We start from the raw sequence: 14,403 nt of genomic DNA, 5'->3' as shown, positions 1-14,403 counted from the left end.
GCCAATCTCTCGTAGCCTTAGTTTCCCCATTTCTAAAATGGGGTGTAGTTTCTGACTTCTCACTGTTGGAAGTGCAACTGTTTGGGTGCCCTGCGATGTACAGTGCTACTAAGAAAAAAAGCAAAGACTTTTTGAAAACAGTTAGATAAACTTAGATTTCTGTGTCTATTTCTACGTCTAAGTTTTTCATCCATATGTACCTACCTAAGGTTAATGATGAGATAATATATATAAAATATGTACAGCACATAGATATTGAGCAATAAATAATAGCTTTATTATCTAACAGAAGTCTCTAATGTTATTGTTTGACGTAAAAAGTAATATATACCTCGTTAATTTCAGTATTCTAATTTTGAAGAGCCTCAGGGCAAGTTTCATGAAAGGAGTGAAAAAAAAACCAGGGGAATAAACACAAACGCTGTCTGTGTTTACAGTAATAATCAAATTGTAGAGTGGGAGAGCATTTTTGTTTTGTTTTTTAAGAGTATTCTGTTCTGGTTGGGCACAGTGGCTCACACCTGTAATCCTAGCACTTTGGGAGGCCAAGGCGGGAGGATCACTTAAGCTCAGGAATTCGAGACCAGCCTGGGTAACAGTGAGATCTCATCTCTGTATTTAAAAAAAAAAAAAAAAAAAAGTAAAAAATGTTAAAAGAATGTTCTGTTCTCTCACGTACAATTTCAAATTTCACCAAACTATAAAATTTAGTTGCTAAACCTCCTGACCTTCTAACAATACAAATCAGGTTCTGTGGCATGACACGTTCTCTTCTTCCCTTCTAGGTCTTTCAGAGCCTTGAAGACCACCATTTGGAAGTGGTGGCGTTTTTCAGGGAAAATGGCTTCCATGGCCTTCTTGCCCATGACTCCGAGTATGCTCTCTACAATATTCCCTCTTACTACAGTTCCCATGCTCTGAAACTGAGCTGGAATGGGAAGAACCTCACTACCAACCAGTTCCTGATGCAAGAAGTAGCCAAGCAGCTGGGCCTGAAGAGGATGAATTTCCCCATATTTGCTGCACTGCTAGGTAGGTCATCCAAAGAAAAGACTGCAGTGATTGGTAGTTTCCTCTTCTGGTGTTAAGAGATGAGGACTAGAGTGATTTAGCCTGTCATCATTAGATTTGTCTTCTTAAAGTCTTCACGCTAAACACTGCTGGGGAGAACTCAGCATGGTTTTTGGGCTTCTTGGTAGAGCACACTAAAACTCAGCATGTTTGTTTTGTGGGTTGCTACAGGTTATTCCAGAACATTATTTAGATTCCTGTAAGCCGCCTTCTTTTGCTACATTTTATAACTCTTTTATGCAGAGTATTCTCAAGCCAAATGTTTTATTAGGCCGAGACAACTTTGGTTCCCCACACAGAGCATTAACATTTCTTCCCCAGTGTCTCAATTTAGATCGGAAAGACAAATTGTTCATTATGTTTTTCTCTTTGTTTCTTTTGTGCTAATATTTTTTATGAAAATTTCCAAATATACAGCAAAATTGAAAAAGGGCTTTGCAGTAAAAACCCTATATCCACCACCTGTATTCTGCCATTAACATTTTACTCTAATTGCCTTATATATCTATCCATTCCTTTACCCATCCATCAATCTGTCTCTTATTTTATTTTATTTATTTTTGAGACAGAGTCTCGCTGTGTCGCCCAGGCTGGAGTGTAGTGGCACGATCTCGACTCACTGCAATCTCCGCCTCCCAGGTTCAAGTGATTCTCCTGCCTCAGCTTCCTGAATAGCTGGGACTATAGGCACCTGCCACCATGCCCAGCTAATTTTTATATTTTTAGTAGAGACAGGGTTTCACGATGTTGGTCAGGCTGGTCTTGAACTCCTGACCTCAAGCAATCCACCCGCCTCGGCCTCCCAAAGTGCTGGGATTACAGGCGTGAGACACCGTGCCTGGCCCAATATATCTCTTAAAGATGTGTTTCAAAGTAAATTGCAGAGAGTTGATTATGTTTTGAATTGGTTTTTCAAGTACTTAGCGCATGAAGGTTAGTATTCTGTCTCAGGCATGGCCTTTGCTCTATAATTCCAAAGGACATGAGTTTGGATAATATAGTGGAGTCAGCACAAGTTTTGGAATTAGGCCATTGGCAAATCACTGAAGTGACATCTCCCTGGTTTCAGTTTTCTCATCTGTGAAATGCGGATAATAATACCTCATGATGTTATTGGTAAAGTGAAATGAAATAAAGTGTACAAAATGCCCAGCACTCATTAGGCAGTTAGTAATTGGTGGCTGCTATTATAAAAGGCAACATGACTTAGGGGATAAGTAATAGCATGGGCTTTGGAGTTACATTCCTAGCTTTTTATCTTGGTGTGTGTACCTATTGGCCAGACCACATTGGGCCAAGTCACCAAACATGTCTGAACCTCAGTTTCTTTATCTGTAAATGTAAATGATAATACTACCATCCATAGGCATTATAAAGATGATACATATAATGCACATGAAACATATTAAGTGATCAACACAGAACTACTGTAAGTATTACATTAAGAATACAGACCTATGTGAATTATTTGATCATTTTCTCTCCCAGGACCCCTTTCATGGCCTGGAGGTTCTAAGAAAACATTTGTACAGTCAATGAATGACAAATGTACTTTATAGGTAACCACATCCTCCCAGATGAGGACCTGGCTGCTTTTCACTGGAGCCTCTTGGGACCAGAACATCCTCTTGCATCACTTAAGGTAATGTTTCCTATTTCTTGCCTATACAGATTAGGGGATATGAGGTTTTGATTGGAGTTTTGATGGAATAATTATCTTACATTAGATTTAAAATATTTCACATACATACAAAAGAAAAAAATATTAGTTATGGCCAGGTGCGGTGGTGACTCACACCTGTAATCCCAGCACTTTGGGAGGCCGAGGTGGGCAGATCACCTGAGGTTAAGAATGCAAGACCAGCCTGGCCAACATGGTGAAACCTCGTCTCTACTAAAAATACAAAAATTAGCTGAGCGTAGTGGCAGGCGCCTATAACCCCAGCTACTCAGGAGGCTAAGACAGGAGAATCGCTTGAACCTGGGAGGCAGAGATTGCAGTGAGCCAAGATCGTGCCACTGCACTCCAGCCTGGGCAACAAAACGAGACTCCATCTAAAAAAAAAGACAAAAAAGAAAAACTTGGTTATGATCAATACCCTTAATATCTCAAGAATTCATACAAGTCTATAAAGAAATATACCGATAACCCAATAATGAAATAATGAACAAAGGACAGAAGCAGAAAATTCACAAGAGAGAAAATACAATGACTAGATGTTCAACCTCACTATTGATCAGACATGTAAATTAAATGATCAGTGTGATTTTTCTTTTTTTTTGAGACAGAGTCTCACTCTGTTGTCCAGGTTGGAATGCAGTGGCACGATCTCAGCCAGCTCACTGCAACCTCCACCTCCTGGGTTCAAGCAATTCTCGTGCCTCAGCCACCCAAGTAGCTGGGATTACAGGCCTGGCTCATTTTTTTTTTTTTTTTTTTTTTTGAGGCAAAGTCTTACTCCGTCACCCAGGCTGGAGTTCAGTGTTGCAATCTCAGCTCACTGCAACCTCCACCTCCCAGGTTCAGGCAATTCTCCTGTCTCAGCCTCCCGAGTAGCTGAGATTACAGGCATGCACCACCATGCCCAGCTAATTTTTGTATTTTTAATAGAGACAGGGTTTCACTGTGTTGGCGAGGCTGGTCTCGAACTCTTGATCTCAAGTGATCTTCCCACCTCAGCCTCCCAAAGTGCTGGGATTACAGGAATGAGTTACCACACTCGGCCACTGTGAATTTTTTTTTTTAACTTAACAGTTGAACAAATATTGAAAAATTAGTTTACCCACTGTTATCAAGACTGTTGCAGCCAGGGCACGGTGGCTCATGCCTGTAATCAAAAATTAGCCAGGTGTGGTGGCACGTGCCTGTAGTCCCAGCCACTCAGGAGGCTGAGGCAGGAGAATCGCTTGAACCCAGGAGGCAGAGGTTACAGTGAGCCGAGATCGCACCACTGCAGTCTAGCCTGGGTGACAGAGTGAGACTCTTGACTCAAAAAAAAAAAAAAAAAAAAAAAAGACTGTTGTGAGACTGATACCCGCATACACTTCTGGTGGTAGTATAAGTTGGTGATTGTATTCTATTTCCCTCGTTCTTTCATTCTCCTAGATGACTGTTTCATACCTTCTCTGTCCTCAAGCCTCTAATACTTTCTCCTCATTTGCTCACTCTCAGTTCATGACCTCACTTCCTGTTTTACTGAGAAAATGGAAGCAATGGGAAGAAAACTTCGATGAGTTCTTACCCCCTCTTCACCTCACCTATATGAAGGTGTTATCCCCTCTGTGGCCACATATTCTGCCTGCCTCCTATTAATTGTGCATGACCTGTCCATGTTCCTATCTAAGGCAAATCCCTCTACTTATACTAGGTCCCATCTCTATTTATTTAAAAAAATTTTTTTTAAGAGACAGGGTCTTGCTATGCTGCCCAGGCTGGAGTGCAGTGGCACAATCATAGCTCAAGTGATCAATCCTCCTGCCTAAACCTCCTGAGTAGCTGGGACTATCAGGCACAGCTCCCATCTCCTTTGGCCAACTTAAGAGCATCAGTTCAGCAATTCTCCCCCTTTTTCTCCTGCATCATCAATTTTCCTCTTTTCATTGGCTCTTTCCAGATTGTGTAAGCATGCATCTATGAAGTTTAAAAATACAACTTTATTTTTTTTTTAAAAAAGCCTCTGACCTCACTCTCCCCACCCAAGCTACTGCTCTATATTTCTTCTTATAGAAAACTCCTCTAAAGACTTGTCTACACATGAGTTGCTTACTATTCCCTTCCCCTGTTTGCTTTTCAATTGATTTGCTGAAATTGCTCTCAACAGGGTCACCAGTATAACTTCTCAGTTAATAAACCCAGTGGCTAGCTGTCAGTTTTCATTTTACTTGACCAGTCAGCAGCATTTGACACAGATACTCACCCATTCTTCCATAGAACACTTTTTTCACTTGGCCTTAAGGACACTATTCTCTTCTTATTTCCTTCCTACCTCGCTGACTGCCGCTTCCCAGTCTCTGTTGCTGCTTCCTTGTCTTTTCCACTTGTTAAAGGTGGAATAGCCCAGAGTTCCATCCTGGTTCCTTTCTCTTTTCTTTTCTGATTTGTTTTATTTGTTTGTTTGTTTGTTTTTGAGACACGGTCTCATTCTGTTGCCCAGCCTAGAGTGCAGTGGGGCGATCATGGCTCACTACAGCCTCGAACTCCCGGACTCAATTGGTCCTCCTGCAGCAGCCTCTTAAGTAGCTGGGACTACAGGCACATGCCATCACGGCTGGCTAATTTTTTTTGTATTTTTTGTAGAGATGTGATCTCACCATGTTGCCCAGGCTGGTCTTAAACTCCTATGCTCAAGCGATCTTCCCACCTCAGCCTCCCAAAGTGTTGGGATTATAGCCGTGAGCCACCATGCCCGGCCCCTTCTCTTTTCTGTCTCCACATACGATTGATCTCATATAGTCTTAATGACTTTAAATACCATCTGTCCGTTGATGACTCCTAAGTTTTATGTCTTCAGCTCTGACCTCTCCTTTGAACTCCAGATTTTAATATCTAACTGCCAATTCAATATTTTCATTTACATATCCAATAGGTATCTCAAAGTTATATGTTCAAGTGGAAATTCCTGATCTTCTCCCTAAACATGTTTCTCCCACAGCCTTCCTCATTTTTGTTGAAGGCAACTTCATCCTTCCATTTTCTTTCTTCCCTTTTTTTTTTTTTTTTTTTTGAGATGGAGTCTCGCTGTGTTGCCCATGCTAGAGTGCAGTGGCACAGTCTCAGCTCACTGCAGTCTCCACCTCCTGGATTCAAGTGATTCTTCTGCTTCAGCCTCCTGAGTAGCTGGGACTACAGGTGTGTGCCACCACATCCAACTAATTTTTGTATTTTTAGTATAGACAGGGTTTCACCGTGTTGGCCAGGCTGGTCTCAAACTCCTGAGCTCAAGTGATCCGCCCACCTTGGCCTCCCAAAGTGCTGGATTACAGGTGTGAGCCACTGCACTCAGCCCATCCTTCCATTTTCTCAGGCTAAAATCCTTGGGGGTCATCCTGACTCCCCCCCACCCCTCCCATACCCCACATCTCATTTGTCAGCAAATACCATCAGCTCTCCCTTCAAAAATATACCTACTTCTTAACATTTGCACTGCTGCTACCCTGGCCAAGCCACCATTATTTCTTGCCTGGATTATTATAATAGCTTACTAACTATTGGTCTTCTACTTACACTCTTCCCCTTACCTCCATTTTATTCTCAATATAACAGGAGAGCGACCCTTTTAAAAAAAAAAAAAAACCACTGAGATCCTGTCACTTCTCCATTCAAAATCCTTGGCCGGGCACTGTGGCTAACACCTGTAATCCCAGCACTTTGGGAGGCTGAGGCGGGTGGATCACTTGAGGTCAGGAGTTCGAGACCAGCCTGGCCAACATGGTGAAACCCCATCTCTACTAAAAATTTTTTAAAAGGCCGGGCGTGGTGGCTCAAGCCTGTAATCTCAGCACTTTGGGAGGCCAAGGCGGGCAGATCATGAAGTCAGGAGTTTGAGACCAGCCTGACCAACATGGTGAAACCTCATCTCTACTAAAAATACAAAAATTAGCTGGGCATGGTGGTGCTCACCTATAATCCCAGCTACTCAGGAGGCTGAGGCAGGAGAATCTCTTGAACCCAGGAGGTGGAGGTTGCAGTGAGCCGAGATCATGCCACTGCACTCCAGCCTGAGCGACAGCAAGACTGTGTCTCAAAAAAAAAAAAAATAGCTGGGCGTGGTGTTGTGTGCCTGTAACCTTAGCTACTCGGGAGGCTGAGGCAGGAGAATTGTTTGAACCCAGGAGGCAGAGGTTGCAGTGAGTCGAGATCGTGCCACTGTACTTCCTCCTGGGTGGCAGAGCAAGACTCCGTCTCAAAAAAAAAAAAAAAATATATTATCCAGTGGCTCTTCATGTCACTCTCCAAATCCTTACCATGGCCTGCAAAGCCCTTTACTGTGGCCCCCTCTCATATCTGATCTCTTTCTTTCTTTTGCTCTTAGAACCTTTGCACTTATCATTCTCCCTACTTGGAATACTTTTCCCCTCATAGCTATTTCTTCAATCCTGAAGGTTTTCTAAAATTTCATTCTCAGTGAGGCTTTTCCTGATCACCCTATAAAAAATTATATGCACACACTTCTGCAGTAGGGATTGTTTAGAAAACAATTAGCACATACATATTTGCATTCCCTAGCTTCTTCTCTACTCTTCTCTGCACAGCACTTATCTACATCTAGTACAAGCCCGGTTAATTTTTGTATTTTTAGTAGAGACGGGGTTTCACCATGTTGGCCAGGCTGGTCTCGAACTCCTGACCTCAGGTGATCCGCCAGCCTCCGCCTCCCAGAGTGCCGGGACTACTGGCATGGGTCACCGCGCCCAGCCTACACTATACATTTTACTTATTTAGTTTAACTTCCCTCACCCTATCCCAACACATCTACACTAGAATTTAAGCTCCCATGAGGGCAGAGATTTTTGTCTGTCTTGTTCACTGCTGTTTCCCTGGTGCCTAGGACAGTGCCTGGCACATAGTAGGCAGTAAATATTTAAGGAATGAATAATAAAGCCTTTTGGCAAAACAATTTATAAAAATTCAGAAGCCTTTGGAAAATTTATACCCTCTGCCTCAGTAATTACAGTTTGAGGAAGCTTGTAATTAAATAATTGGAAAGTGGGCAAGACGTCATACTTATAGTTTATGAAAGCATTAAAAACTTTTTCTTTAAAAATTTGTTAAGGGCCAGGCGCAGTGGCTCATGCCTGTAATCCCAGCACTTTGGGAGGCCATGGCAGGCGGATCACTTGAGGTCAGGAGTTCAAGACCAGTCTGGCCAACATGGTGAAACCCTGTCCCTACTAAAAATACAAAAATTAGCCGGGCATGGTGGCAGGTGCCTGTAATCCCAGCTGCTCGGGAGGCTGAGGCAGGAGAATTACTTGAACTCAGGAACTGCACATGTGTGCACATAATTGTTTTCTAGACAATCCCTACTGCACCACTGCACTCCAGCCTGGGCGACAGAGCAAGACTCCGTCTCAAACAAATAATAATAATTATAGACAACACCATGAGGGAAATTTTGTATAATCTCAGAGTGGGAATATTTTATGAGCAAATCCAGTCGTGGTGCGTGCCTATAATCCCAGCTACTTGGGAGGCTGAGGCAGGAGAATCGCTTCAACCCGGGAAGCAGAGGTTGCATTGAGCCGAGATTGCACCACTACACTCCAGCCTGGATGACAGAGTGAGACTCTGTCTCAAAAAAAAAAAAAATGTTTAGGTATCACAAAAACAGGAAACATAATATATAGTAAATCACCATTGTAACGTGTTCCAGATCCAACAGTTACCAGTATTTTGCCACACTTTCTGGGTTTTTTTGTTGTTGTTAATGTTTTTTAAAGCAAATCCCTTTCACATTCTTCAGTACACATCTCTAAAATACTTGGGCATTTTCTTACATAAGCATAATGCCATTATTACTCCTGACAAAATTAATGCTAATTTCTTGGTATCATCTTAATATCCAGTCCATTTTCAGATTTTCCTGATTGTCTTAAAATGGCCTTTTGTGATTAGTTCAAATCAGAATCCAAATGTCAACTCATTATAATATTACATTTAATAGCAAAAAAGCCAAAATGTCTCATGAAAGGAAGCCTGATTAATTGTGACAGTGTCATATACAGTAGTTATCTCTGCAGGAAGATGGATGATATGTTTTTATTGCTTTATACTTTTCCATCTTTTCCAAGTGTTCTGTACTGAGAATGAAGGGGCAAAACTATTTTTAAAGAAAATATTTTAACTGTCTCTCTGTGGATTTACCAAATGTGAATTCCATATCTCCCCTCAACTTCACTCTTTTTCTTAGTGATCCATCTTTGATGTCAGTGTCCCTTGCTTATCTTGCCTTTCTAGGTTCGAGCTCATCAGCTGGTTCTTCCTCCCTGTGACGTGGTGATCAAGGCTGTTTCTGAGTATGTCAGTTCCATCAAAGATCCCTCAAACCTGGATGTAGTTGGGAAGGATGTTTTCAAACAGTCTCAGGTAAGTTAGCATTCCCCTTCCTAAGAGTCCTCCGTTTTCTTACCTTCTTCAGCAACACCAGCAGGTCCCTGATCTTTTCTGTGACACCTAAGTTTTCCTAGCTGCTTGTCTTCTCCATGCTTACAAATGAGAGCTCCAAAATTTCCTTTAAAAAACATTACACAGCCTGGATTGAAAGTGCCCTTTACCTTTTTTTCTACTGATGATTAAAGTAATATAAGCCCATTCTAGTCCGGGCACGGTGGCTCACACCTGTACTCCCAGCACTTTGGGAGGCCAAGGTGGGTGGATCACTTGAGGTCAGAAGTTCAAGACCAGCCTGGCCAACATGATGAAATCCCATCTCTACTAGAAATACAAAAAATTAGCTGGGTTTGGTGAAGCAGAAGAATTGATTGAACCCAGGAGGCGGAGGTTGCAGTGAGCCGAGATTGCGCCGCTGCACTCCAACCTGGGTGACAGAGTGAAACTTCGTCTTAAAAAAAAATAAATCGGTAAAGTAATATAAGCCCATTCTAGAAAATTTAGAAAATGAAAACAAATTACATAAAATATCATTACCCATAAACAACTTGCTATAGTTACCACTCTGACATATGTCTTTCTAGTCTTTTTTTGTTTCAGTGTACACATGGTGGCTCACACCTGTAATACCAGCACTTTGGGAGGCCAAGGCAGGAAGATTACTTGAGCTTAGGAGTTTGAGACTAGCCTGAGCAACATAGCAAGACCTTTCTTTCCCCCAAAGAAATTTGAAAATAAATTTTTAAAAATGTACACATGATCCCTGACTTAACGTTGGTTCAACTTAACATTTTTCTGCTTTCCAATAGTGTAAAAGCAATATGCTTTCAGTAGAAACTGTACTTTGAGTACCCATATACCCATTCTGTTTTTCACTTTCAGTATAGTATTCAGTATATTACATGAGATATTCAATACTTTATTATAAAATAGGCTCTGTGTTAGATGAGCTATATGCTAATGTAAGGTATTCTGAGCACATTTAAGGTGGGCTAGGCTAAGCTGTGATGTTCAGTAGGCTAGGTGTATTAAATGGATTGTTGACCTATATTTTCAACTTGTGATGTGTTTATTGGGACATAACCCCGTCATAAATCAAGGAGCATCTGTGTATCTTAACATAAAGGAGTTCTTCCTCAATGGAAGATAATGGGCAAAGAAAAAAGACTGCTTAAAGTGAGTCCACATAAAACAAGAATGAAAATTTCATTGTTAATAGTGGAAAAAGAGCTCAACTGGGATTTTATTCTACAAAATGAAACTAAAAATTATGAAAATAAGTTAGTTTTATTTTTAACAATTTGATTTATATTTTTCAATTTGGATTTCTCACTTATTTTTAAAATTAACATACAGTCAAGCTGACTTGTGAATTTTAACACATGTATTGATTTATGTGACCATCATCACAATAAGAATACAGAACAGTTGTACTACCCCAAAAAACATGCTATCCCTTTGTAATAACACCCAAACCTACCTTTAACCCCTGGCAACCACCAGTTCATTTTCTGTTACTATGGTTGCATCCTCTAAAGAATATCACATGAATCATACAGTATGTGATTTTTTTTTTTTTTTGAGACAATGCCTCGCTCTTGTTGCCTTGGCTGGAGTGCAATGGTATGATCTTGGCTCACTACAACCTCCGCCTCCCTGGCTTAAGAGATTCTCCTACCTCAGCCTCCAGAGTAGCTGGAATTACAGGCGCCCGCCACCACGCCTGGCTAATTTTTTATATTTTTAGTAGAGAGGGGGTTTCAGCATATTGGCCAGGCTGGTTTCGAACTCCTGACCTCAGGTGATCCACCTGTCTTGGCCTCCCAAAGTGCTGGGATTACAGGCGTGAGCTACCGCGTCCGGCCCAGTATGTGATATTTTGAGAACGGCTTCTTTAATTCAACATACTACCTTTGAGATTCTTCTAAGTTGTTGCGTGTTACCTGTATCAATAATTCATTCCTTTTTATTGCTGAGTAATAGTCATTGCATGGATATGCCAGTTTGTTTATACATTTACCCGTTAAAGAATATTTAGATTTATTTCGATTTATGGTGTTATGAATAGAGCTGCTATAAACATTTGTGTACAGGTTTTTGTATGAACATAAGTTTTTATTTCCCTGGTGTAAATACCTACAAATGGAGTTTCAGGGTCATGTGGTAAGTGTATGTTTAAATTTATAAGACCTTGCCAAAGTAGCTGTTCCATTCCTTACCAGCATTTGGTATTGTCAGGTTTTTTTCCATTTATTTTTTTAATTGACAAATGAAAATTAGATATATTTATTGCATACAACGTGTTTTGAAATATGTATACATCATAGAATGGCTAAATCGAGCTAATTAACATATATATTACCTCAAATGCTTTTCATTTTTTTGTGGTGAGAACATTTAAAATCTACTCTTTTAGTAATTTCCAAAAATATAATACGTTGTTATTAACTGTAGCCGCCATGTTATACAACAGATTGTCAGTGTTTTTTATAGCTGTTCTAATAGGTGCGTAGTGGTAGCTCGTCATAGTTTTATGTTTCCCAAGTGACTAATGATGAACATTTTTTTCTTTTTGAGACACAGTCTCACTTTATTGCCCAGGCTGGTGTGTAGTCGCACGACCTCTGCTCACTGCAGCCTCCGCCTCCCGGGCTTGAGCAGTCTTTCCACCACAGCCTCCCAAGTAGCTCGGACTACAGGCGCACACCATCATGCCTGGCTAATTTTTGTACTTTTCGTAGAGACAGGGTTTTGCTGTGTTGCCTAGGCTGGTCTCAAACTCCTGAGCTCAAGCCTTCTGCTCACCTCGGCCTCCCAAAGTGCTGGGATTACAGGTGTGAGCCACTGCACCTGGCCAACATTTTTGTTCTGAGCATACTTCATTCATATATCCTCTTTGGTAAATGATTTGTTCATGAACAGTCTTTTCCTTTTTTTTTTAAAATTGGTTTGTTCATTTACTTACTGTGGTGTTTTGAGAGTTCTTTATAATGCATATGAGTGCTCTGACAGATATCTGGTTTGCAAATATTTTCCCCCAGTCTGTAGTTGTCTTTTCTTTTAACAGCATCTTTTGCAGAGCAAAGTTTTAAATTTTTCATTAGTTTTTATCTTTTATGGGTCATGCTTTTGGTGTGATGTCTAAGAACTCTTTGCCCAACCGCAGGCATGACAATATTCTTTTGTTCTCTTTTTTAAAAATATTTTTTAAAAACCAGAACATTGGCCGGACGTGGTGGCTCACACCTGTAATCCCCACACTTTGGGAGGCTGAGGTGGGTGGATCACCTTAAGGTCAGGAGTTTGAGACCCGCCTGGCCAACATGGTGAAACCCCATCTCTACTAAAAATACAAAAAATTAGCTGGGCATGGTGGCGCGTGCCTGTAATCCCAGCTACTCAGGAGGCTGAGGCAGGAGAATCGCTTGAACCCGAGAGGCGGAGGTTACAGTGAGCCGAGATTGCACCATTGTACTCCAGCCTGGGCAACAAGAGTGAAACTTCATCTCAAAAAAAGAAAAAGCAACAAAACATTTATTGCGTGACCAATCATTGAAATTCTTAAAAGGAACTGGATGCTGCTACAGCTGCCCCTTTGGGTTTTTGTGTTATTCCTTCACAGAGTCCATGCCTGAATTCATGGTGTACAATTTTTAGGTAACTAGTAACACCAATCCCGGCGGTATTTTGTCTTTTAGCCTTAGCACTCCAGTTATACTTTATTTTATGCTTGGGAGGGTAACGACATTTGCCACACATTGACTTCTGAAAGTGGCAGGTATTAGAGCTGTAGCAGCAGCGCAATGTGTGCGTCTTAATGTGAGGCTTTCCAAATGATGACGTTCCCTTCGTCACCTCACTTCTACTTTCTGTTTTTCTTATTTATTTATTTATTTATTTATTTGAGATGGGGTCTCACTCTGTCACCCAGGCTGGAGTGCAGTGACACTATCTTAGCTCACTGAAACCTCCACGTCCTTGCTTCAAGCGATTACTGTGCCTCAGCCTCCTGAGTAGCTGGGATTACAGGCACGCGCCCCCACACCTGGCTGATCTTTTGTATTTTTAGTAGAGATGGGGTTTCACCCTGTTGGCCAGGCTGGTCTCGAACTCCTGACCTCAGGTGATCCGTCCGCCTCGGCCTCCCAAAGTGCTAGGATTACAGGAATGAGCCACCACGCCCGGCCTGCTTTTCTTTTTTAATTACATAGTTCTGCACTTCACATTTTAGAACAAATCATCCATATTTAGTTCATTTCTGTATAAAGTATGAGAGGTTGTGTTTTTCATATGGATGTCAAATTGTTTCAGCACAGTTTGTTGAAAAGACTATCTTTTCCCCATTGAATTACCTTTGCACTTTTGTTAAAAATAAATTGGCCATGTTTGTGTGGGTCTACTTCTGGACTCTGTTCTGTTCAGTTGATCTATGTGTCTATCCTTTTACCAGTAATACACTATCTTGATTACTGTAGCTTTATAATAAGTCTTAAAATTGGTTAGTGATTCCACCACATTCATTCATTCATTCATTCATTTAGAGACAGAGTTTCACTCTGTTGCCCAGGCCGGAGTACAGTGGCACAAACATGGCTCACTGCAGCTTCAACCTCCTGGGCTCAAGTGATCCTGCTGCTTCAGCCTCCCAAGTAGCTGGAACTACAGGTGTGTGCCACCATGCCTGGCTAATTTTTAAATTTTTTGTAGAGATAAGGTCCCGCTATGTTACCCAGGCTGGTCTCAAACTCCTGGGCTCAAGCAATCCTCCTGTTTTGGCCTCCCAAAATACTGGGATTACAGGCATGAGCCACTGCACCCAGCCAACTTATATTATTTTTCACTGTTATCTATATTTGTTCCTTTGTCTTTCCGTATAAATTTTATTTTTTTTAATTTAATTTTATTTATTTTTTTATTATACTTTAAGTTCTAGGGTACATGTGCACAACGTGCAGGTTTGTTGCATATGTATACATGTGCCATGTTGGTGTGCTGCACCTGTTAACTCGTCATTTACATTAGGTATATCTCCTAATGCTATCCCTCCCCCCTTCCCCCACCCCACGAGAGGCCCCGGTGTGTGATGTTCCCCACCTTGTGTCCAAGTGTTCTCATTGTTCAATTCCCACCTATTAGTGAGAACATGTGGTGTATGGTTTTCTGTCCTTGCGATAGTTTGCTGAGAATGATGGTTTCCAGCTTCATCCATGTCCCTACAAAGG

General features: G+C 41.3%; 1 protein-coding gene and 1 pseudogene across 3 annotated transcripts in view; one reads left to right on the top strand and one right to left on the bottom strand.

Moving 5' to 3' along the window:
• The window catches only part of FAM120C (family with sequence similarity 120 member C), a 114,931-nt gene that overhangs the window by 22,853 nt on the left and 77,675 nt on the right, over window positions 1-14,403 (top strand). For all 3 annotated transcript variants that reach the window (NM_001300788.2, NM_017848.6, XM_006724589.5), the window contains exons 2-4: window positions 786-1,032; window positions 2,631-2,713; window positions 9,029-9,157. In NM_001300788.2, the coding sequence (NP_001287717.1) occupies window positions 786-1,032; window positions 2,631-2,713; window positions 9,029-9,157 (459 nt within the window). The remainder of the gene's footprint in view (window positions 1-785; window positions 1,033-2,630; window positions 2,714-9,028; window positions 9,158-14,403) is intronic.
• Window positions 12,743-13,036, bottom strand: RPL37P24 (ribosomal protein L37 pseudogene 24; annotated as a pseudogene).

This window comes from Homo sapiens, chromosome X (assembly GCF_000001405.40).
Source record: "Homo sapiens chromosome X, GRCh38.p14 Primary Assembly".
Classification (NCBI taxonomy): Eukaryota; Metazoa; Chordata; class Mammalia; order Primates; family Hominidae; genus Homo; species Homo sapiens.
The sequence above is the reverse complement of the archived record's forward strand: the minus strand, read 5'-3'. Positions and strand labels throughout refer to the sequence as shown.